This window comes from Homo sapiens, chromosome 6, assembly GCF_000001405.40.
Source record: "Homo sapiens chromosome 6, GRCh38.p14 Primary Assembly".
Taxonomy (NCBI): domain Eukaryota; kingdom Metazoa; phylum Chordata; class Mammalia; order Primates; family Hominidae; genus Homo; species Homo sapiens.
This window is the reverse complement of record NC_000006.12, coordinates 97,443,339-97,468,342: the sequence shown is the minus strand read 5'-3', so window position 1 is coordinate 97,468,342 and position 25,004 is coordinate 97,443,339. Positions and strand designations below refer to the sequence as shown.

The window sequence follows — 25,004 nt, the reverse complement described above, 5'->3', positions numbered from 1 at the left end:
TTCCTAATAGAAAATCACATCAAAATATTTCCATAGGTGATATATAAAGCCCTTTTATTTCTTCTTATACTAATGGGCCCAAAATTATTTGCTTTGGGGAAAAAAAAACAGAAAAACAAATAAATAAAATAATGTATAATGAGAAGCTGAACTAATGATATCAAAGCTCTCTACCAGTTTGATCTTTAAATGTCCATCTTTTTCACTCAAAGGGTATCTAATACTACACAAATAGACGCCAATAGCAAGAGACAAATGCATTTCACTATATTCCATGTAATCAATTATACTGAAGGCTAGAAAATTCTAAATTATTTTGAAACCACACATGCTACACATCCATGCATCACACACACACACACACACACACACACACACACACTCTTCTTTTTAACTTGTAATATTTTTCCAACACTGCAACTACAATATAAGTTGTGAGGATACGGAAAGAGGGATTTTCAGACCTCAGAAACTTTGAGACACAAAAGAATTGTCAAAAAAAAAAAAAAAAAACAAAAGGAGAGCATTCTCTGAGGAAAAAAATAGGAAAAAAATTAAAGATTTTATTTACCAGATTTCTCAAGTGTTTGAGACAAAAGCTAAGAATAGCATTTAACTGATATTTTCAGTTATTATTTGCATTAAACATACTTTCGTATGTCAACATTTTATTAAAAAGTAAGACTTTTAAGGATTAATTTAATATTTCCCACATGTTGTATGGCAAGGTTGATGTCTTCAGGTGAATTATCGATGACACAGATTTCTCAGAAAATGAAAATCAAATGCATTCTCAGTCTCTAGAGTAGTTTGGTATTAAAATTGTTAAGTCACACATAGATAAATTTACTCATCACTTTATTGCTATATTTCAAAAACTCCTTGGATAGTTTAAGACTATGCCAACACATTTTTAAAAATTAGCCATAGTTATAAAAGATTTTTATGAACTAATCAACTGAACAAATTATTTTCATATATGTTATGGTGAAAAAGTGGCTTGTAATCAAAATCCAACTCCGCCTCTCAATAGCACAGGCACACTGTGCATGCCATCTAATTTTTCTGTAAATCAATATATTTATTTAGAAATTTAATAATATTAACCCATCTGGCTTTATTGTCTTCTCAAGATTATTGTGAAGATTAAACATGGCAAAATGCATTAGAAATTGCAAAGCAATATATCAGCATATCTATTATGTTATTTTGTATATGTCATAATGGTCAATTAAAATAAATTATTTACAAGAAAACTGGAAATTTATTATCTTATCCAAATGTCTTGTGTGGACTATGAGTGCATCCAGCTCAGCATTCTGCCATTAACTCAGAATCCTATAAAGTGGCAGTGATGAAAAAGACATACTCTACAAGAAAACTCATCTAGCAAGTTGGCTGACCACTCACCAGTTATAAGGAAGTTGAAATTTTGGAAAAATAAAAGTTGAGAGTTTGAGAGAGAAGTGTAAGATCTGGGAAAGGAAGTGGGACAACGTAAGTAAATCAAGAATGTTTGGGTGATTTATATTATACTACCGTTGTATGTTTGCCCAGCAAGGATTTTTTTTTAAACCAACTCTCAAAAAATTATTCACCCTTTAAAAATTTTGACTATACGATTCAATCTGCTTTCCAACCAGTAATGCTCAATGGTCTGACAGTTTTTTTTAAGTATAAAAGGCATTTACAACTGAACTGCATTGAAGTTCTTTCCCCTATTTCTTACACCACATCCAGTTAATTGCTCTTTAACATGCTAACAGAAGGATAAGCTGGTACATAATAATTCAGGCATGCACCGATCCTATAATGCCAGGAACTCAGAAGCAGCATGAGAAAACATCAGATTTTTGGCATGTGGGCTAGATGTTTAAATCTGCATAGATTCGAGCCAATTAGACTTGTCAGACTCCAATCCAGTTGAGAGTGACCCCTGATGGTGGAAAGACATGTGGGACAAGCCACAGAAAAGCTTGCAAATGTCAGAGAGGCCAAAAGGTGCCCCACTGGCCTCAAAACTATTAATTAGCAACCAGCAAAAGCACTACCAAAGAATCGCTGCCCCAGCACTCCTCCTCCAGAGGTTGCTGCTACTCGGCCTCATTATCATCTGGATGGAAAACAACACCCTTTCCTGGGAGCTCTCGGCAACACTCTTATTGATTAAGTTCCCACAGTGTTAAATCATTCTGTAGCTTTCACTCCAATCTTCCCACCCCTGAATAATAAAACCTTCAAAGGATTTACTGGGATGGAGAGGGAAGTGGGGGCACAAGGAGAGAAGCACTGCAACATACTGTTTATATAGTGCCCACAGTGTCAGCATAAATCAGATCCCAGGAAGCGTTTAAAAGACAACATGCAAAATGAAGTTAATCTGAATTTTCTCTTGTACTTACTAAGGTATGATTTCCTTTAAAAATATATATATTTCAACTATTTCTAAGTCATGTATGCCAAGTAAAATCATGACACTAAATAATATTTCTGCAAGTTCTCAGTGATCTTATTTGATTGGGAGATCACAAATGTCTGATAGACAAATGCCTATTCCAATATGAATAGCAAAATATTTCAAGGGGGTAGAGATGGAAGCAAAAAGCCAGAGCCATAACTTGAATCCCATGAGAAAAAATATTTGCATAAACTTTCACTCCAAATAACTTATTCTTTTTTTCAGTTACAGAGTATTTCTATTCAAACACAGAGGAAAGCAAGAAAATAATGTCAGTGATGTGATAGATTCACTTATTTAATTCATATTGTACAATACTGAACATCAGTTTTTTCACCTGTAAAATACAGTTTATAACTGCCTTGCAGAGTAAATGTGAGGATTAAATAAGAGTTACATACAGTAAGTGCTCAAAAAAGTATAATTGCTATAGTTATTATCCTTAGTACTATAAAGCAAATCACCAGTAACTTGCTTGTTCTCCAAAGCAAACCGTTTCATCCATTGGATCTGCTTGAAGCAATACATCTACACTCCAAGTTATTTCCAATTTCCCACAGAGAAATAATAAAATAAATGTTAAGTGGATATAAAAGATCTATATTTATTTGTGGTTTCTCAGCTAGCTGTCCCTAATAAACTGCATGACTCTGATTCAGAAGGACCATAGCTTTTGCCAAAATAGTGAGAGACATATTCAAGGGAAAAGAGGGTATCTAAGTTAGACAGAGAGGAGATCTAAGTTGGACAAACTTGGGTCCAAGTTCATGTTGTCCAAGTTTTTAGATGGCATGCTCTGGCCTTCTGAGCTAGAAACAAGTAAATAAGCTGGTGAGCTTTTAGGTAGGAAAATGTATTAATTTCATTTGATTATTTCATTTTGGTTAATAGTATCCCACAACTACTACATGTGGCAATTGGGAAGTCCAAGGCTGTGGGAAAACATAGTGATAATTTATGCATTTGCTAAGAAGTTAAGATCTATATTATGGTTACATAAGTGAGGCCATTTTTAAATATTTTTTGACTCATCCTCTATGTGCCCTATATCACATAAAAAAAACTTTGTGGTCTGAACACCCAGGGAGGGGGGAGAGAAACGGGACAGTTTAAATTTAGTGGGTTTAAAAATAAGCAACAGAGACAGAAAATGAATTTAAGATTTTTCAAGTGGAATGTCAAATACAGTACATAGTTCTCAAAAGAGAATGTTTAATGCAATATTTAGCAATATAAAATCAAAATTAAATTATTGAAATAATAGTCTGAGCAGTAAAGGAGAGAGGCCTCTCTGAAAAGTAGAGGGGGTTAAAGGAGACTTCAATTATATGAAGAACTTTGGAAACAAAGGTAGAATCAAATATAAAATGTCCTATTAACACTCAATCTTCTATGGATACTCCATTCCTTCTGTTGAACTTACAATTGCTACACATGTGACTTCATGGAATGTTAGGTGCAGGACAGCAATATCACCATTAAAAAATGGAAACAAAAATGCTCAATAATGTTAATCTACATGGATAAACTTTATGTTTTAATAGAAATGATTATGTGGACTAAATCATATTGGAAGTCAATTTATGATTTACAGTCCCTAACAAATAAATTGAAATGGTAAAATTATTTTTTGAATGGATATTTGTTATTACCTGTGTTGAATATTAACTGCAAGTTTAAAAAGCACTCTTCTAGAAATGTTGACTGATGACAATAGATAAGTGGACACAATTCACAGCTAAAGCACAAAAAGATATGTTGCTAGTATATGTCCAATTTACACACAAATTAAAATACTTTGGCTCTCAGTGTGCATTATGGCAGAGGACTTTACTCTTCAAGTTTACACATTCCAACCAATTCCACTATTTTCTTTTTTAAACAAACATAGTAAGATTTCACCTGTAAACACAGTGGGATTGATTATACAAGAAGCTGCATGGGGAAGCAAAATGCCAAAATATATTCTAGGCTTCACTACACACCTCTTGCAATATTGAACACTGTCTAGTAGTAGGTCTACATTCTCAGCCACAAATACGGAGATACCAGAGATTATTTTCATTGGGGAAAATAGTGTTCCCTGTTCATCCCTCTGACTCTTCCAGTAGATTTATTAATGCCAACAAGTCACAGTGGGAACAATTTGAAGACAAAACCTACCTAGAAAAACACGCATCACTAAACATAGTTATTTACTGAAAACTAAATTATGTTTTCTTTAAGCCTATAAGTTTAATGTGCTAATTATATAAACCATAAAATACAAAAGGAAGAGAAGAAAATCAGGTAAAATCAGCACCAAATTCATGAAGTTAGTGAACTCCAATCCAATGAGGTAAATTAACCAGCCACATGATTTCCATCATCTATTGTCCAATTTCCTGACACATCAGTCATGCAAAATGTGTACATACACCCCCCCGTGATAGTTAGAGCATCTGGCCCCTGCAGAATTATCCAAAGAGATGGTGTGAGCCCAAACGCAGGAATACATAAGAAACCATTTTGTAGATAAAATTCTATTTAAATGCAGCTGGCACTTCCCTCTGCATACCACACTACATCACAGCACACTGCACTACAGACACACATATATGTACACCAAGAAAAAAACATCCTAAACAACATTCTGGGAGACCACTTTTCCCTAATACTGAAGCCTAGGCTGTTTCCTCAAAATCTTGTTCTACATCATCAGACTGAAACTCTTGCTGGGAAGGATGAAGATAATGGCAACTCCAACTGAGAGGCCATTCACACTACTCATAATTATAGAACAGGATCGCAGTAGTTAGAAAAGGGGTGGGGGACCGAGGAGTAAAAGAGGAAACCATTCAATCACAAAAGCCATTTCTTGCCAAGACTGAATACTAGGTCTTGACAGAAGTTCAAATACCTATATTTATCTATCACTTTAGTGAGAGCTGATTTGACAACTCATTTCATTAATTTAATTTAAAAGAGCCGATCCCAAGTAAGTAATTATTTAACTAGGGTTTTAAAACTAATCACTATAGTTTTCTTTAAAATCAAATTCCCTATAATAATTTCACAGTATGAAATGGCATCAATTAACAAAGCTTGGTTATACTTGTCTCTTATGATGCAAGGAAAATTCTAACTAAATAACCTTGTATTATCACTTCACCTAGAAACCATCAGCATATTTTTGCTCCTTCAAGTAAACATCTTGGACTAACAGAATAGAAATTATAAACTATTTGTAGTCAGTCACATTCTTGGAGTTCATCAAAGAAAATCCTGTCCCCACTCAAACAAAACCCATCTATTTGAATCAGAGGTGAAATCTCCCTTCAGGTACTCAATACTTCGGTATGTTCATATTAGCACTATAATTTTTTAAAATTGCATTTTTAGTCTACTCATTTTATTTATCAAGAGTGCTAAAATTTAGTTGGAATAATTCAGTACTATGACAAAATTACTCCTATTAAACTTTGTATATCAAATAAGCAAAAATATTCCAAAATGAAAACCAGAAATAGAACTGATGCAAATCTCATTTTATATAAGCTAGTGATAGTAAACTAGCTTACAATGGGATGTCAATAACTGTTGCTAGATAGTTTTTATTACGAGGCGATGAGTCAAGACTCAACTGCCAAGAAACTAAAAACAAGAGAGATGAAGGTCTCTAGCAGCTGTTGTCAAATTTTTCTATTACAAGTTACCTAAGGACCTAAGGTTTCATTTTCGCAACATTTTGGCAAGCATATTATGTCTCTCTTTAATTTCCATTGCAACTCACTGTGAAAGGTTTATGTAACAAAGTGATGGAATGCTAACCCCTACAACAGAAAACAATGATTTTTACTCTTGTTAATAAAAACTAGGGTTTTTTAATTTTTTTTAGTAATTTATTTCACTGTCACTAATGGTCTTATGATAATAATCATAGTATATAATCTGACACAATTGCTCTTAGGAAAATTTCTAGCAAAGGACTGCAGCCTCTGTGGGAGGTAACTGTCGGAATTATCTTAAACCACTACCTGTCTTCCGCTACTATAGAAAAGGCCTTTAATCAAAATAATCCTTTCTCAAAAGAGCAACTTTTTTCCCTCTGCAATTCACTCATCTTAAAAGAGCACTATAGCTTTTGTGCATAACTTAATTCATTCTTCAAGACAAGTACAAAATTTGTCACTGACATTTAGCGCCAGCCGTAGGCAATGGATAAAATGAACTAGTTAGCAATTTAACCTGTAAAAAAACAGAGTGGGATGAACAATTTTCTGCCATCAAAGCAAATGGCTAACATTTAGCAGGATTTTATTTTTATTTTTCAGCCCATCCCATCTTCAAGAAGAAAGAAGTCAGGCTAACATTTTTTCAGGGTCCTAAATCTTCCTCTCAGCCTATTCCTTTAATGGTTTCAAGTAAATGACTATCCAGAGGATAATTAGGCACTGTGCTGTCGCATCGTGTCAGGTCACAGCTGGATTTAGTCAGCATTAACCTTTGGGGAGAATTGGAATATCAGTATCATTTAAAATTAAAGACGTGTAAGCAGGCATTTCTGGAGATGTTAGAAAAGTAATTGTCTGTAAATTGTTTGACCTTGAGATTTAATTGCATGCACAACACACATTCTAGCAAGAGCCCTGGACTGTCTTCATTCTTTTACCTCCAAACCTCTCACTCCACAGGGCCCATTAGGCTACCTGTGGCTTTATCAGTAAAATATTAAAGATTTTGGCCTTCAATTTAAAAAAAAACCTTTGAAGCATTTCTCAGTATACTAAAAATTTAAAGCAAACATGCTTATCAATCAGAATACCAATTTTACTACATATTTCTAAAAGCATACATACTATAGTCATGTTTGAAAGCTAAGTTTAAATCTCATCCACCCCCCTTCTTTTCTGCTAACAAGTTTGCATATTTTGCCTTATTCCCTTTTTCCCTAATGAGACAGCTTATGCTTTCAAAGTCCCTCAAGCTAGGCAAATCTCTGCACCGCTTCCACTGTTAATAATGAAACTTCGTAATTATACAAATCCAAGGTGGCCAATCAGCTTTCCAGGCTGAACCTTCGGGTACCTCATAAATTATTCATGTGACACTCAGGCCTGTGAACTCACTTGCTTATATTAGAAGCCTAATTAATATTTAATCACACGTGCAGAGGGCACTTGGAGCTGCACTGTCCCTGAAAGAAGGGTAAATATAAATGTGCATATGCCTCAGTGTAAATCTCATTCAGTAGAAAAAGGAAGTGTCGATGGACATGCGGAAGTGACCATGAAACACACTAGGGATGATCCAGGCAGTATGATTCACCTCTCTTGAGCCTACTACATGCCAGGCACTGTGTGGGACCCTGAGAAGAGGAAGTCACAATCCCCATCCCCCACATCTCCTACGAAACCTTTCTTTCCAATCAAGGAATTTCAAAATTTTGACAGGTAAATATTGTCTTTTCAAATTTTAAATGGAAAAAAGAAATTGAACATAGTTATCCATTAGTCTAGAAAGGGATGATATGCATCCATATTATCAAAGGATATTTGGCTTTGGATAGTTTTCATTTTGTTTCTTAAAAGGCAGCAATACTGTTAAACAGCAGAATACCTCTGTAACCTTTTCTGGGATTTCACTATATTTTTTCTCCAGGGGAATGAGCTAGAAAAGAGAGCCAAACATTATCTGGCTTGGCAGGCTTACAGATGACTACTGTTTAGTGGAATTATGCTATGTTGTACTAAGAAAAATAAAATATGTTCTTTCAAGGGATGAGGTGAGAAAAAGACCGATAGCTAATCATGGTACATCAGAAGTCTTTAAAATGATGAAACAGACACTGAGAAAGAAGCATGAGCTGGGTCCACAGACCTAAGTGTTGCATAGCACTGGCACTGCCACCCTGTGAGATCTCTACTCCCAGATTACATGGCTTTGAAAGTACAGCCAGTGGCATTGTTTCTAAAGGTCTCTTCTGTCTTTGATGACATCTCCGTTCCACCAGAAATTACTCTATAACTTTCCCCTGGAGCCACTATGCCACTATCTTCACTGTCTGCAACAGCACATTAAGAGTCAATAAAGAAACAAAGTGTATAGTTCTTTGGGCAATTATATTGCAGTAGCCCCAACACTTCACAAAATGATTGTTCTGGGACCCTTTAGTGGGTGTCACGTGATGTGATAGTATTCCTTTAACCAAATGCAAAAATGGCAAAGAGTGACAGATGCTTTATGTTAACCCTAGGAAATGATATCACTGACAGCCCTGTTATTTTTTATTTATTTATTTATTTATTTATTAGAGAGACGGGATCTCACCCTGTCACCCAGGCTGAAGTGCAGTGGCACCATCATAGCTTACCATAGCCTCAAACCCCTGGCCTCAAGCAATCCTCTGCCTCAGTCTCCCAAAGTGCTGGTATCACACACATGAGCCACCTCGCCCAGCCCACCCTGTTATTTTCTTTTACACCCTAAATTAGGATGTGCCCAAATGGGGTCTTAATAGCTCAGAGTTAACAGTTAGTAGAAATAATGGTTGCAAACACCTAATTAGGACTCCTACTAATATTGCTTCTTCCTAGCCAATAGGAACACTTCTACAGATGTGAGGAACATCCATGATAAAATCCTGTTGCCTTTATCCTGGTTTGTCTCAAATAACCTCACCTAATCTTCTGCGTTCCCAAGGGCACCACTGCTAAGGAACCCTTTATCTCAGGTTGCATAGTGTCCTGATTGACTCTAATTCTTTATCAATACATTGCTTTGGGAGTATGTAAGAAACTGTACGTAGATACAAACCATATAGACCAATGAAGAGTATGCCTTAAACATGGGAAGACAAATAATGATTGGTCTATAATACAATGAAGTTGAGTCCCTAAAATCTGAGTTCATATTTCAGCTCTTTTGATTGCTATATGGCTTTTGAGAAGCTACACATTCTCCTCAAGTCTCAGTTTTGTCATCTATATATACAATGAGTTTGCTTATATATATATATTTATATATATATATGTATATAAAAGATTAAGATAATGTACATAAAGCATTCGTTAAAGTTCCCGGCATACAAAAGGCACTCAGTCATGCTAGATAATATACACTTATCAGGACCCACAATTCAATCATTTGTTCATTCTTACCCCAACCCTCTGCTAATTGGAATATCATAAAAGATAACCAGAAACTATGGTACCTATTTATCAAGAGAATGGCGGATTATCTCTTGGGCTCTGTTTTCAGCAAGATTCCTAATGAGATCCATTGCTTTCCAAAGTTGCTCTGGATCAGGCTATTACCAGCAAATAAAGAGAGGAGAGGGCATGGCCATAATATCCTGTACTATTAGGAAATCATTTCATACCATCTGCAGCCCCTGATTCTGTGCAAACTTTGTTCCTCAATAATTACAGCTTAACATTCAGTAGGAATTGTGACTCTGGGAAGTTAAGTTTGGATTAAGACAAATTATAGGGTGTGTTAGGCTACAACTCAGGGTTTTTTCTGGGGATTAGGAGAAATGAGAGAAATGGAGGTAAACTATACACAAATACTCCTCCTGGCCCCCGGCTCTGTTTTTGGAAAAATCTTGAGAAATCACAAGGTGTAGAATCTAGCAGTCCTAGGTGTGCCACCAACTCTGGGATATGGATGTAACTGAAAGCCCAATTATATGATAGAGCTGAGGCTGTTCAAGCACTTTATGCCTCAGTGAGGACTACCTCTAAAAGGGGGAGGGTTTAAGCTTGCAGGTGGTGGGAGAGGTGGGAGGTGTGTGGAAAGCAGTGGACTCAACTTTGAAAAGCTACAGATGGTAGGGAGAACAGAAGCAGAGGACCTGAGGTTGGACTGTCCATAAAGGTACATTCTCATCAATTCAATGACATCCAACCTTTTTAAAAATATATACCCACAATCAGGCAATCCTCTAACACATCCTTCCAGAGGTACCATATTTAGCAAATAAGTAAAATTATCCAAACTACCACTGCATGGCAGGCTGGTGTCCAGTGGTCACATAGTGGTTAGGCACAAAGCCTAAAATTCCCAATCAAAATTAAATTTTACTTCCAATGTTCACCTCTAATACTATTTCTGACTCTCTAACAACAGCCCATCTGACATCTTGCTGGCATTACATGTAACTGATATTCTATCTCCCATCTCACTCCATAACCCTGGATAGCATTTGTCAAAGGTTGGTCCAGGAACAACATGCACCAAAATCACCAGGGCTATCAGCCTGAAGCTTACATAATTTGGTGAAGTCATTTTAGGGAAAAGAAAAGAATATTTGAATTAAAGTTAGATACAAATGTGACTATTTAGCATGAGAAAATAAATCACAACAAATTATAGTTGTCCCCTCAGTATTTGTGGGAGATTGGTTCCAAGACACCCTGTGGATACCAAAATCCCCAGATGCTTAAGTCTTTTATATAAAATGGTATCGTATTTACACACAACCTAAACATATCATCCTTTAAATTGTCTCTAGATTACTTGTCATACTTATTACGATGTCTACATATCACTACATCCTCATGGATTCAACATAGTACTCCACAGACAGCAAATTAAAGATTTGATTTTTGGAATTTTGTGAAATGCTTTTTTCCAAATATTTTCAATCCATGGTACATTCCAAATATTTTCAATCCAAATATTTCAATCCAAATATAATTCAATCCATATTTGAATCCGCAGATGTGGAATGCACAGATATAGAGGGCCGACTGTACTGGAGACTTGGAAATTAAGGTCACATTAGAAAATTTACAGTGCTTGCTTAGAAACGGTTCCTAGTGGAAACCTGGTTCTCCTCTCTTTCCTCATAAAACACTCTAGAATTCTCAGTGACTTCCAGAATTCACGCAGTTAGTTCAAGTGAAGGGCCCTGCCACTTAAGTCCAGTTACCATCACAATAAATCTGCCTTTGCCTGAGATACTTCTTAAAACTGAAGATGCCTCGTATTTACCTCAATCACTAAATTAGAAGGTGCGCAGGTGGGCTCAGGAATCTCCATGTCAGCACATGCATCTCTGAGGACCACTGCTCCAGATAATAATAAAGTACTTGAAGTCAAGAATCATCTTATTCACCTATGTCATTCCCTTTGCATATAGTAAGTTCCTAGCCTACAGCAAGTGCTCAACAAATATGTTGAATTACAAAGTCATTTATGAATGTGTTTTACTACCTTACGATATATTTCTTTGAATCACTTCAGCAGTTAGAACCATGTCCTGAATGTATTGGGCCCTCAAGAAACAGTGGAATAAACTGCAATAAAAGCATCTAATTTGGAAAACTGTGCCCACTTGTAGAAAAACTGGTTTGTGTGTTCATAAAAATGATATAATTCTTTTCAGAAAAAAAGAAAAATTTGCCATAGCATATACAGTGTTGAAAATCTCAAGCTCTATGTGTATATACACATCTTTTTACTCTCCCATATTTGTCAACAATATCAATGACAACATTTAAGAGATTGTATGGGAAAACAAGGAGCATGCATATGCCTAACTGTACAGCTCAAGTGTCTGAAACTTCCCGGGGTGTCCAGCAAGTAAGGCAGTTGTGCAAAGGGCAAAGCGAGCTGTGAGTAACTCAGAGCCACAGCTCCTCTGCTCCTCCCGGTGGTAACCATGTTGGAATCAGCCCATTAGGGCCAGACTTTTCAAGAGAAGCTGGAAACCAAATCATTATAAGAAATCACTTAATTTTTAACTGCTCTTGATAACTAACACAAAATTTTAAAAGGCATTGAGTTGACTAAACAAAACATGTCTGCAGGCCATCAAAATAAAATATCTAACAGAGAGTATTTGTAGATAACAATGAAGTTAGAAATAAATATCCATATTACAGCCTCTTACTGTGTGAAAGCTCCCTAACTAGACTATAAGCTTATCAATAACACTTTTTATATATACATCTTTGAGCACAGGGCCTTCCAGAAATATTTGATTCACTGTTGAATCCTAAGTACCTAGTATTCTACCAGGTATAATAAATAGGTATGGAATGAATGACTGGAGCAGGACTGATCAACCTTACAGATGAAATTCAAGAACATATTACTAGGGGAACAAAGCAAGCTGAAAAAATGTTGACAGAGTATTGTTCCATTAATTCAAGTTTAAATATGTATAACACAATAATATAGAAAGTTTACAGATTCACATATATGTAGAATAAAACAAAGACAAACAGAAATGATGAACACAATTTAGAATACTGGTTACCTCTCAAGAAAAGTGTATCAGGATTGTGAAAGCACAAGGAAAAGTGTATATCTGTAATTTTTCTCTCTTAAGTTTGGGTGATTAATACGTGTTGTTAATTATATCCTTCTTAATGTTCTACATTACTGAAATACTTCATAACAATTATTTAAATAAACTTTTTGTTTTGGAATAATTTTAGATTTACAGGTTGCAAAATTAGTACTTAAGAGTTTCTGTTCCTTGACCCAGTTTCCCCCATCTTACATTAGTTAATATCTTACGTTAGTATTGTATAATACATTTGGGTCAAAATGGAGAAACTAATGTTAGTACATTACTACTAACCAAATGCCAGACTTTGTTTGGCTTTCACCATTTTTTCCCGTTAATGTCTTCTTTCTGTTTCAGGATCAAATCCAGAGTACCACATTGCATTTAGTTGTCAAGTCTCTCCAACCTGTGACAGTTTCTCAGTCTTTCCTTGTTTTTCATGACCTTGACAGTCTTAAGCAGTACTGGCCAAATATCCTGTAAATGTCCCCTGTTTGGGCCTTTTCTGTTATTTTTACCATGGTTAGATTGAGGTTATGGGCTTTTGAAAAGGAATCAACAGAGGTTAAGTGCCCTTTTGTCATGTCACATCAAGGGTACATGTTCTCCACATGACAACATGATTAATGGTAACTTTCATCACTTGGTTAAGATAATGTTTTCCAGTATTCTCCACTGTAAAGTTACTGTTTTCCTTTTGCTCACTCTATGCTTAGGAAATGATTCACTACGTCTAGCTTACACTCAAGGGGAAAGAGTGGAGGGCAAGGGGAGTAGGGGGCAGAACTGAACTCCACCTCCTGTAGAAGGGAATATCTACACATATGTAATAATTTTATTGAATAGAAAATTTTTGAGAAAAGGAGAACAGGAGACTTAAGGATTGAGAATTATACTCCTAGGAAACGTCCTATGACCTGTGGAAACAATAGTACTTCCTATTTTTGGGATAAATGCACATGCACATTCCAAATGTCAAAACAGTCTCTTCCATAACTTATTTCTTCCTTTAATCATTCAAAGAGTAATAAATTTTCAGGTAACTAGTCTCTAAGCCTAGATACTAATACTTGCTTTAATAAACATGTAATAGTTTTATTTAAAGGAAAATTTTCCCCATAAGCTTTGGACTACCTATTGTATACAAGAGAATGGACTGGCACTGTGAAAAATTTCTTCTAAAATATGCACAATGTTTAGTTCCTGCCCACCAAGAAGGCTACAATCTGGCATAAAGGGAGAGGGCTTGGGTAGTTTGAAGACAAGTGCCATACAACAATAGCCTACATCATACTGGGTTTATTGCCATAAAAGAAATACTAATTCAGTGGTACATGGATTTGGAAGAGGAAAAAATGAAATCCAACTGAGAGGTATCTAGTGAGTCTGTGTTCCCTGTGTATCATCTCTAGAAAACTCTCATCTCTTTTCAAAGAGGCACAATATCTGAGATTTGGAGTCTTGATCAATTTCAGTGTTAAGTTCCACAAAAGATAGCCATAGGAAACAAAATCAACATTGCTATAAATATAACCAATGCCAGAGCAGAGAGGGTAGAAAGTGGAATACAAAAAAATTACAAGAAAGAGAGAAAGATTAAAATTCTTCACTGTATCAGTCTACTGCCCAAAAAACACTGGACTGTCTCCTAGTTGTTAATATATCAATCCCCTGCTCAGCTCTGTGCCAATTTGTATTATCATACTTCTCCTGTCTCATTTCTCACCAGTCTCAACATGGCCCAACCGCTTCTGTTACTTCAACAGCTTGTTCTACTCTGCTTTCTGCTCAGTTTCCAACGTGGGGCCTCCAAGCCCTGTATATTGGTCAGGACCCTTTCATTAGAAACAATTTATACCTTCAATTTAAATAAACACAAGTTAAAAAAGGATAGGAGGGGTATTGGCTCACATAATCAAAAATTTGGGGCAAGATCAGGACACTGTCTCTGACCCTTGGCTCTGATTTTCTCTCTGGTTATTCTAAGGGAGGATCTCCCATCATATTGCTCCCTGGCTGCTCCAGGAACACATCATCACAGCCTAACCATCTCAGAAGAAGGCTCTTTTTCAATCAAAACTTCAAGATTGAGTCTAATTTGCTAATTGGCCAAGCCTAGATCACATGCTCACTCCTGATTTGGGAAAATGTAGGGTAGACAGCCATCATATTCAAATAATCAGGATAAGAGATAAAAGAGTGATGATTCCCCAGGTAAGATAAACATGTTGTTATCATAAGAAGGTAAACTGAGGGTCAGGCGCAGTGGCTCACACCTGTAATCCCAGCACTTTGGGAGGCCGAGACGGGCATATCACTTGAGGTCAGGAGTTCGAGACCAGCCTGGCCAATGTGGTGAAACCCCGTCTCTACTAAAAATACAAAATTAGCCAGGCATGGTGGCGTATACCTGTAATTCCAGTTACTTGGGAGGCTGAGGCGGGAGAATCGCTTGAACCGAGGAGGTGGAGGTTGCAGTGAGCCAAGATTGCACCATTGTACTCCAGCCGGGACGACAAGAGTAAAACTACAACTCAAAAAAAAAAAAAATTCAAATTAAAAAAAAGAAAACAAGAGAAAAATAAGTATTCATTGGGCAAAAACAATTGTGTCTACCTTATTCTATCTATGTCATTTCCTAAGTAAAATTGACTTGTTTATCTCATTTACCTCCTTGGACAACTCCCTGCTCTGTGCTGTTTCTTCGTGTTGCTGTCTCATGAAATTTGTCAACTGATCTACCATTTTTTTTAAGTTTTACTTACCCTTCAATAACCTGTTTACCTGTCACCTTTTTTGTTAAGGCTTCCATTAATGCACCAGTCATGTAATTGCTCCATGATTCCATAACATGCACTTGTTCTTCTATTTAGTATTTATTCCATTCCACCAAATATTAAGGTAATTTGTTTAATAGAAATTCTTCGAGAGCAGAGAGGGTGCCATATACATCTTGGCTTTACTTGTCTCCAAGCAAAGTGCCATATACAAAAGAATCATCTGTTAAACATTTGCTGAATTAGAGATCATCCAAATCCTTTCTGCCACAAAACCCCTTCCCTATTAATTCTTTCTTACTTTGATAAGCCATTTGTTCTGAATTCCTCTCCATATTTATATGTACTTTGATGCTGTCAGCTCCGCCGGCCTCTAGATCTTACAGAATCTAACTGATCCTCATTAGTGGGGTCAGCTTTGTCCCAGTCCCTAAGTCTATGCTAAATTGAAATGGAGGAACTTAAAGCATTTCAAACAAATATGGAGAATAACATTAAACTAGTCCAGTTCCCCTTCTGTTCAAGCTTCTGCCTTAATGACTTATGTGATACACATTTCTACCAGAGCTAATTCTGTATATGATCTATGGAACACAAGGTTTGCATGTGCTATGGTTTCAGTGTGACCCCCAAAAGTTCATGTGTTGGAAACTTGGTTGCCATTATGGCAGTGTTAAGAGGTGAGGCCTTTGGAAGGCAATTGGGCCATGAGGGCTCCATTCTCATGAATGGATTAACGCCATTATTGTAAGAGTAGTTTAGTTACCACAGGAGTTTGGCCCCCTTTTCTTCTCTGTCTCATGCATGAGTTCCTGCCTTCTGCCCTTCCACCATGGAATGACCCTCACCAAATGTCAGTGTCATACTCTTGGACTTTTCAACTTATCTACCATACTCATGGTTCAGCCTCCAGCACCATAAGCTGAACAAACTCTTTTTCTTTATAAATCACCCAGTCTGTGGTATTCTGTTACAGCAACAGAAAATAGACTAAGACAGCATATATAATAAGCATGCCAAAGCTTTAGAGCCAAAAGTTGCATGACCTCAAGTAAATTACTTAAACTGAGTCTTATTTGTTCATCTGTGAGAGGCATTTTTAATTTTTCTTGAGACAGGGTCTTACTCTGTCACCCAGGCTGGAGTGCTGTGGTACAATCATGGCTCACTGCAGCCTTGACCTCCTGAATTCATGGGATCTCTCAGCCTCAGCTTCTCATGTAGCTGGGACTACAGGCCCATCCCACCATTCCAGGTTAATTTTTTTTGTAGAGATGGAGGTCTCACTTTATTGCCCAAGCTGGTCTTGAACTTCTGGGCTCAACCAGTCCCCCTGCTTCAGCTTCCCAAAGTGCTGGGATTACAGGCTGGAGCCAATATGTCTGGCTTAGAGAGGGGTTTTTTAAATGCTTAATTTCACTGAGATTTTAGAAGTATAAAATAAAATAACAAATATAGACAGTCAGGGATAACATCTGCTATATGAGAGATACTCAACAAGTGTTAATAGTCTGTGCTAAAGTCAATAGACCAGTTGACCTACCTTCCCTTTTCCTCCATAAAAATCTTCCCATGAAAGAATCTTGCAGAGATATGCTCAACTGTATGACCCAAAATCATATTAGGTGACTGAAAATTTAATTGCTATAATCCAATGACTTTTTGGAAATCCCAATTGAATGAGATTTTTTCTACAAAATCCAAGCCAAAGAAAAGTCTATGTCCTAAACTGACTAAACCTCTATCTTCCTTCATTATCCTAAAATCCTAACTAGTCATGTCCCCAGAATTATATAAATGGCCTCTCTTTATACTGCAACCTCAAATTATTTCATAATTGCTTTTTTCTAAGACCTAGAGCTAGGGTTCATGTCTTACTTAAATCCATGTTTTGCTTAGCTCAAAAACAGAACTATGGGCTACAATCAATACCAAGTTCTATATCTAGGACCCATACGAATATGGCAACTAAGGATCTCAAGGACTCCCCTAAATATCTTTGGGATAAATATTAGGATATTAATATTAGGATATTAAGGAGTCACTTAGGAGTCACTTAGAGAAGGTAAAAAGTCATAAAATCATTATGTGATTACTGTTTTACTTTTCATGATAAAATATAGGAAATACAAAGAGCTATTATTATCTATTACTCCCAGAAAAAGAATGAATCAGTACATAAGAAAAGAGAATGTAACTTCTGAAAAGCCCCTCTATTTAGAAATAATGGGTTTTTTCAATGTTTTAATAGGAATTATGGATTTATTATTTTGTATTCAAAATAAACAAATATAAATTAGCAATTAGATAACACTGCATGTCCATAATATGTGTCCTGAAAAAAAATTTAACTGTTTAGAACAAATACTTTTTGTTGAAGAGATGGCTACAGGCTGCGGATAAAACACATCTGCATCCAAATCTCTTCCAAGGCAAGCTGTGTCAGCTCCAGGGCCCAGGACTGTTTGGACTATCAAAGATACCGCCTTTAGTAGAGGATGCAAAGAACTGCGTTGGCACTGCATTTGATGAGGGACTAAATTGAGAGTGAAAGCCTCTGAATAGTAATGGTATCTGCATAAAATGTTTACAGGAGAAAAAAAGAAGAGAGAGAGAGGGAGCATGAAGCCAGAGAGGGTTAGGCTAATATGCAGATGCTGACTGCTACATTTTTACAGCATTTGCCAGTCCTTGGTGGTCTGGACCTTTGTTTCAGGGAACATTCATGGAAAAAGAAGACTCAGTCTAGGCCTCTTGCTTGGTGAAATGTCAGAGCAGAGATCCAAGAAAAATAATAAAACCAGGACCCTAGAAAATAACACCCTGAAAAGATTAGCTAAATAAATCTTTGCCACAAAGGGAGACAGTAAGAAGGCTTTATCAAGAGATACACTGAAATATAAAATCATGGGAAAGCTGAAAATATAATGGAAAAATACTCTGGGTGTGTAGGAAGTAACCAGGATTTACTAGAAGGACTCACAGGACTCAGTATATAGCCATGCTCATGGCTAAGATTTATTATAGTGAAAGGATACGAAGCAAAAGGAAATCAGGAAAGGGAAATCAGCAAGGGGAAAAAGCACATGGGCAAAGTCAAGAGAAAAGCAAGCACAAGCTTCCAAGAGTTCTCGCCTAGCAGAGTCACACAAAGCACACTTAATTCCCACAGCAATGAATTGTGACAGCTCATGTGAAATGTCATCTACCAGGGAAGCTTATTTGAGATGCAGTGCCTAGGGACTTAGCTGGGGCTGGTTATGGTAAAGCTTCTCCATATTGATCTACAGATTTACCAAAATTTCAATCAGAATATAAACAGATTTTTTCACTAAATTTGAAAATTGTATTCCAAAAATGTATGCAGAATATCAAAAGGCCAATAACAGCCTAAATATTGCAGAAGAAGAACACGGTCAGGGAACTTGTTTTACCAGTTACATAGAATTACTTAAACCTGTAGCAATTAAGACGGGTGGTATTGGCAAAGAGATATACAAATTTATCACCAGAATAAGGAACCCAGAAAGAGTATCAATACATAGTGAATTGTGATTTAAGACAGAGTTGACTTCTTAGTTTATTTAAAAGGGTGATCACTTTAATACATGGCATGGAAATAGCTGGTTTTCTATATAGAAAAAAAATGGAATTTAACTGTTAGCTATACCAAACAGAAAAGTTAATTCCAGATGGATTCAGTAGTTGAATGTATAAGACAATACTCTATAACACTTAGAAGAAAATATAGGAGAATATCTACAAGATTTCAGACTAGGGAAGTTTTCTTATATAACATCCAAAAAGTACAATTAATAAAAGAAAAAGTTGGTAAATCAAGAACTATTATTCATCAAAAAATACTATAAAGAGAGTAAAATACTAAGCAATGACAAATGGAAAATACTTACAGAATATTTAACCAACAAAATACTCATATAGGAGGGTAGGTAATCCTAGTTGAACACATTTAAAATCAGCTTAAAAAATCTCATTTTAAAAAAACTGGCAAAGGCACTTATAGGAATGTAACAAAAAGAAACACTAATGGCCAATAAGTATATAAAATTATAGAGAAAATATAAATTTAAATAATGAAATATTATTTATACCCATTTGACTGAGAAGAAAAAGTAGTCTGACAATATCAGGATTTCTTGAGGTCGGGGATTTGCAGATAATTTTATATGCTGCTGAAGGGCATAACTACTCTGGAAAATTATTTGCATTATTTAGTGAAACTGAAGATACATATTCCTTTTGATGCCAAATCCACTTCCAGTGAAACGTTTTAACAATTTCATCTTGAAACATGCACATGACTGTCACAGCAGCACTGTTAATATATCCACATACATGCAAAAAATCTGTTGACAGTTAAATGTATGAATAATGAATTTGGTATATCCACGCGATGAAATACTACACAGCAGGGCAAATGAGCAAAGTACAGCTGTACATATCATAATGTTAAGTGAAAGAGCAATTCACATGAGAACACATACAGTATAATTCCATTTACACAGAACAAAACTAAAAGTTATATATACTTTAGAGGTGTCTATATATGTGCTAAAACCATAAATAAAGGCAAAGGCATAATTAGTTACCTTGGGTTGTGGGTAGGAGGATGAAGACAGCAGGATCATCATGTAGCAGGGCTTCAAATTATGTGACACTCTAATGATCTGGGAGCAGGGAGGAAACTAGCATGGTGCTGTGGAGGAATAGCAAGAATAACAAAGTGTCTGGAAAATACGGCACCCAGAAAAGAGCAATGGGGAGTAAAGTCACAGAGTGAGGCAGGAGCATGGTCATGTGGAGCCCTGAAAACCAAGGAAAGGGATGGAATATATTTCGAATATAAAGAGAAGCCTCTGTAAGGTTTTGAGTTGGTGTAGGGCAATTTGATGTTTGTTTTTTAAACACTCACTCTGGCTATATGTGAAATACAACTGCTTAGGAGCAAGAGATGGACACCAGAGGCCAGTTAGGAGGCTGGTTCAGTATTATAGGCAAGAAACAAAGTGTCTTAGACAAGAGTGGTAGCAGAGGTAGTAAAAAGTGATCAAATTTGGGGATTTATTTGAGAGTAGAGAACTTGCTTATTATAAAATTTGTGCCAAAGTTGAAAACTCAGATCAGACATTACCTTTGGGGTTTTGAGCAAAGCAACCAGATGAATGGAGATTCCATTTATTGATGTGGAGACCACTAGAGGAAGAGCAAATTTGGGAATGAGTGGGAATTGAGAATTCAGTTTAAGGAATGCCACCTGAGACACCCATTCAACAACTCAGTGGAGATGTTGTATATGCCGTTGGATATACCAGTCTGAATCTGAGAGGAGAGGTCAGGATATATGCCACATTTCATTTATTCTATGACACACTCTTTTTCACTATTTTAACATCTTTGAAATGGGGACATGTCTCACAATCAATAATATCTTACAGAGAAATGGCAACCTTTTTTTTCTCCTTAGTAGTATACAAAATAATGGTGCATCAGAAGTCAGTTTCAGAATCAGTGTCTTAGTTTCTTTGGATTATAGAATATGTGAAAGATACCAGCATAAAGATGTCATTGAAGCCATGAAACTGTGAAATCACCTAATAAGTAAGTATAGGCAGAGAAAAAAAACAGGAGAAGGATGAGGGAGTAGGGACAGAGCCCTGGGGCATTTAAAGGCCTGGAAAAGGAGGAGAAGCTGGCAAAGGAGAATAGAAAGGGTGGCAGTGAGTCAAGGAAAAAGGTAAGAGCCAGTGGTGTCCTAAAAATAAAGACAATATTTCAAAAAGGAGGGAGGGTGTGTTCTGTTGTTTCAAATGTTGCTGAAAAGATAAAAACTAATGAAGACTGAGAATAAAGAAGAAATAATGAAATTCTAGTTCTCAAGTGAAGAGTAGTTCAGAAGAATAGCAGGGACAACAGCCTATTGGGAGGTGCATGAAAGAATGCGAAGAAAAGCAATTAGAGCCAATGGTGTTCTAAAATCATTTAGTAAACTTGTCTTTTATTTTGTTATTCCAACTAGAATAGAAGCTTCCTCAAGGCAGGGATCTTTATTTTGTTTGTTTGTTTGTTTATATCCTAAGAACCTAAAATAACATTAGACACTCCATAAACATTTGCTGAATTGAACTCTTTCCAGGACTTTTGCTATAAAATAGAGCAGAGAAATGTAGCAATAGCTGAATTTGATAGTCTTTTACGTAGAGAATGAGTGACATTCTGGTAGCTTTCTATCACAGAACAAAAACTGCAAATAAAAGGTATTATAGGGCAGATTTGAGCTCAAAACAAGCAAGAAGAAAAGAAAGAAACAATTTGATTCTTAAAATATCCCAAAACAGAGGCTGCCTTTTGCAGGGTGGTAATGAGTGTACTATCACTGGCCCGAACAAATAATAAGTTATAAAACAGTACCAGAGAATGCTGAGTTTTCAGACAGGATGAGGGAATTATAGGACAAAAGGTTGAACTGAAGTACCTTTTAACTTTAAAAATTTTCTTTTTAGAGTCACAGCATTTTTAAATCACAAACTCATCTCATCCTCTCACCTGGGGCATTCTGAGCCATCATTCTCTGTTGGGGAATGCAAATGTACAAAATTAAAGTCAAATCAAAATATAATTTAAAAGGTAACTTTCATATGAAAAATAATTTTTTGCATTTCAACACCAATTTCATTTATTTATGTGCAATTGCATTATTGCGCTAACATACATAACTGAGAGTTATTTTTAAAAAGAATGAAAGGCAAAATTCTGTTATATTCAGAAAATTGTACAATTACATCTGTTTGAAATATCTTCCAATCTTTATTACATGAGTCTCATAACTATTTCAAAGAAAAATCAACTGTATTACAAAAAACTTTTACTACTATTCCAGTAGTTCATCCAATAAGTGGTAAAATCCCTGAACTGAACTTCAATACTAATCTATTTAATCCTGACTCTGAAGCAGTCAGAATAATTTCAATGAACTATGAGTTAAATTTTGACTGTTTGGTAATATCTCATAACTTTTACTTAAATATTATTAAATAACATTAATTCTCTAAGATACCATTTAAACAAAATGAAACTTTTCACATTATTAATGTAAAGCACAGTAAAAGTTATCAAATTGTCCTTGGATTCTGAAATATGTCCTATAGCGTGTTGTAGCCAATCTGTTCAGAAATCCTTCTGCTGATTTTTCTCTGCAGGCTGGCTGCAGAGCCAGGAATAGGTTAATGAAATGCATGCGAGGAATGAAAAAACAAATTATAAGTGGTAATTCAGCCACTAAACCTTCGCAAGGCTGGGGGGAAATAGGAAAATAAAGCTAATCTTATTTCATTTTACTTAACATACTCAAAATGTCACCTCATAAATCCTATTTTCTGTTTCCATAAAGAATCTGTGTTAGAACTATTGTTTATTAAAAGTTCTGCTGCCATATGGATAACTTAAAAAAAAACTCCCTTCAACCCTGTACTATGTGCAAATATCCAGCAATTTTACATTCATGGTTTAAATTTTTAATTTAAATTCTCTTCATTTCCTCACAAATCAACTTGGTGCACTATGTAAAGAAACTATGTAAATATCAGGACCTTGAACTTTGGTACAAGAACTTCCCTCAAAATATATTTATATGAACCACAAACAATTCAGAAGATATTCCTACTGAAATCATACTTCCAACTAACAGCATTTTGTTTTTTAGAATTTCTTTGAAGGCTCAGAGACTGGCTTAGATTTTTAGCCTAGCAAATTAATAATGTACTATAAAATTTGAGAGTGCTATCATAAAATAAATTCGGAACTCCACATGCAAGCTCCTATATTAAAATACATTGGGATATATTAAGAAAATAAAGTATATCAGCCATATTCTAAATATACAAACAAGCAACATAGGGATACCTAGCTAACAACAATGCAATATCCAAATGAATACTAAAAGACTGGATCCATAAAGTTATGAAGAACTCTGCAGTATTCACGATTTTAAGACAGAATGTGCTGCCTTTGAATTAGAGCAAAATAAGGCTCCTAAAAAAGTTGAAATGATCAATACTAATTCTACAGAAATATAATAGAGGTCTAAATCACTAAAAACAAATCATCATCTGAAATACAGCCAACACATTCTAATGTTTTTCTTTAAAAATATATTCTTCTCCTTTTCCTTTCTTCGTGAATTAATGAGTCAAACTCATGAAATCTCTACACAGTGACCCTTCATTTTTATCTTAAATTTTAAGAAAATGAGAAAATTTTGATGTTACCACTATCTTTTCATCTGAACCTTTGCATAGTGCTATTATTCCATGACCTAATTTAGTGATAAGAGATTCTGCTTCTGTGTCTATTTAAAAGTTCAGATAGAATCAACTCAGAAAACATATATGAATTTCTTTAAAAATATACTAGCACTTTCAAATCTGCCTTCTAATATTTGCATTGTAAAGTACAATCCCTTTAATCAAGCACAACTTACAACAACAACAACAACAAACACAAGTTTTGAAAAATATTTTGGTTGTATCAGATTTCTTAAGAGCCTTCCACAGAAAGTTCCAAGTTCCTATCATAGAGTTTAAAGTGTTTTCATCATAGGAACTTTAATGTTAACATCCTTAGAACTCAGTGAAAGACAATGACCATATTGTAAGAAAAAAAAATCATTTATCTTTATTTTTGTATTAAATCATTATTCTGCTTGAGGCTTAAGAGATTTATTTTTAAACTTCTGAATATAGAAGAATACTAGGTTAGCAAATTATTTTGGAAAAAGTAATTTTAACACATTCCACATAAATGGGCTTTTGGAGAGTGAATTTAAATTTTCCTACTGTGCCGCTAAGCACCTTTGTATTAATAAGCAAAAGAAAAGAAACTGTCTACTACAGCAGTCAAAGTATCCTTTGGTTGCTCTATTGCAGGATATGTAGAGCTTATGTAAAGGGCTACCAGGCTACCAGGCTTTCAAAAACCTGTAACTCAAATTCTAAAGTGAGGCCAAAGATCACCTACCTCTACGTGTAAACCTAACTTAAATTCTAAGAAAAGGCTAAAGATCACTTCTACCTGTAATCATTTGAACCTGATTTCTCATTTGTACAAATGAAAAAGGCTTTTTAAAATATTGCTGTTAAATGTATCATTTCAAAACAAGGCCATGCTACATCTGGGGAGCCAGGGAAGTAGAGGCCGTGATGAAGAATGGAAAAAAAAAAAAAAAAAGTGGCTTTCCTGACTTTCTTAGCCCCTGGTACTTGAGTTGAATAAATAACAATAGGGCAATTCTGTAGTCTTTGAGTACACTAAACTTTTTTAACCCATGTTAAAAAAAAAAAAAAGCCAAAAGTCAAGCTAAATTATATTTCCACCCTTAAAATTGTCACGACGTATTTAAAGATATCAGCCTTTAATATCACATACAATGGACTACCTTTAATTATCCAAAAATGATGTGTGCTATTTTTTCATA

At 35.6% G+C, this 25,004-nt stretch overlaps 2 long non-coding RNA genes across 2 annotated transcripts in view, besides 1 other annotated feature; one reads left to right on the top strand and one right to left on the bottom strand.

The window, feature by feature from the left end:
• Nucleotides 1-25,004, bottom strand: part of LOC101927314 (uncharacterized) — a 403,332-nt gene that overhangs the window by 240,575 nt on the left and 137,753 nt on the right. The gene's annotated exons all lie outside the window — the stretch shown is intronic.
• Nucleotides 237-3,394: an enhancer, noted in NCBI's record as "VISTA enhancer hs1564". NCBI's record gives its function as "enhancer in: forebrain[6/7] | other[3/7]" and the evidence as "EXISTENCE:transgenic organism evidence [ECO:0001131][PMID:17130149]".
• On the top strand, nt 11,441-11,772 carry LOC105377909 (uncharacterized). The gene is made up of 2 exons (XR_942808.3): nt 11,441-11,581; nt 11,687-11,772. It is a non-coding gene; the product is annotated as an uncharacterized LOC105377909 (long non-coding RNA).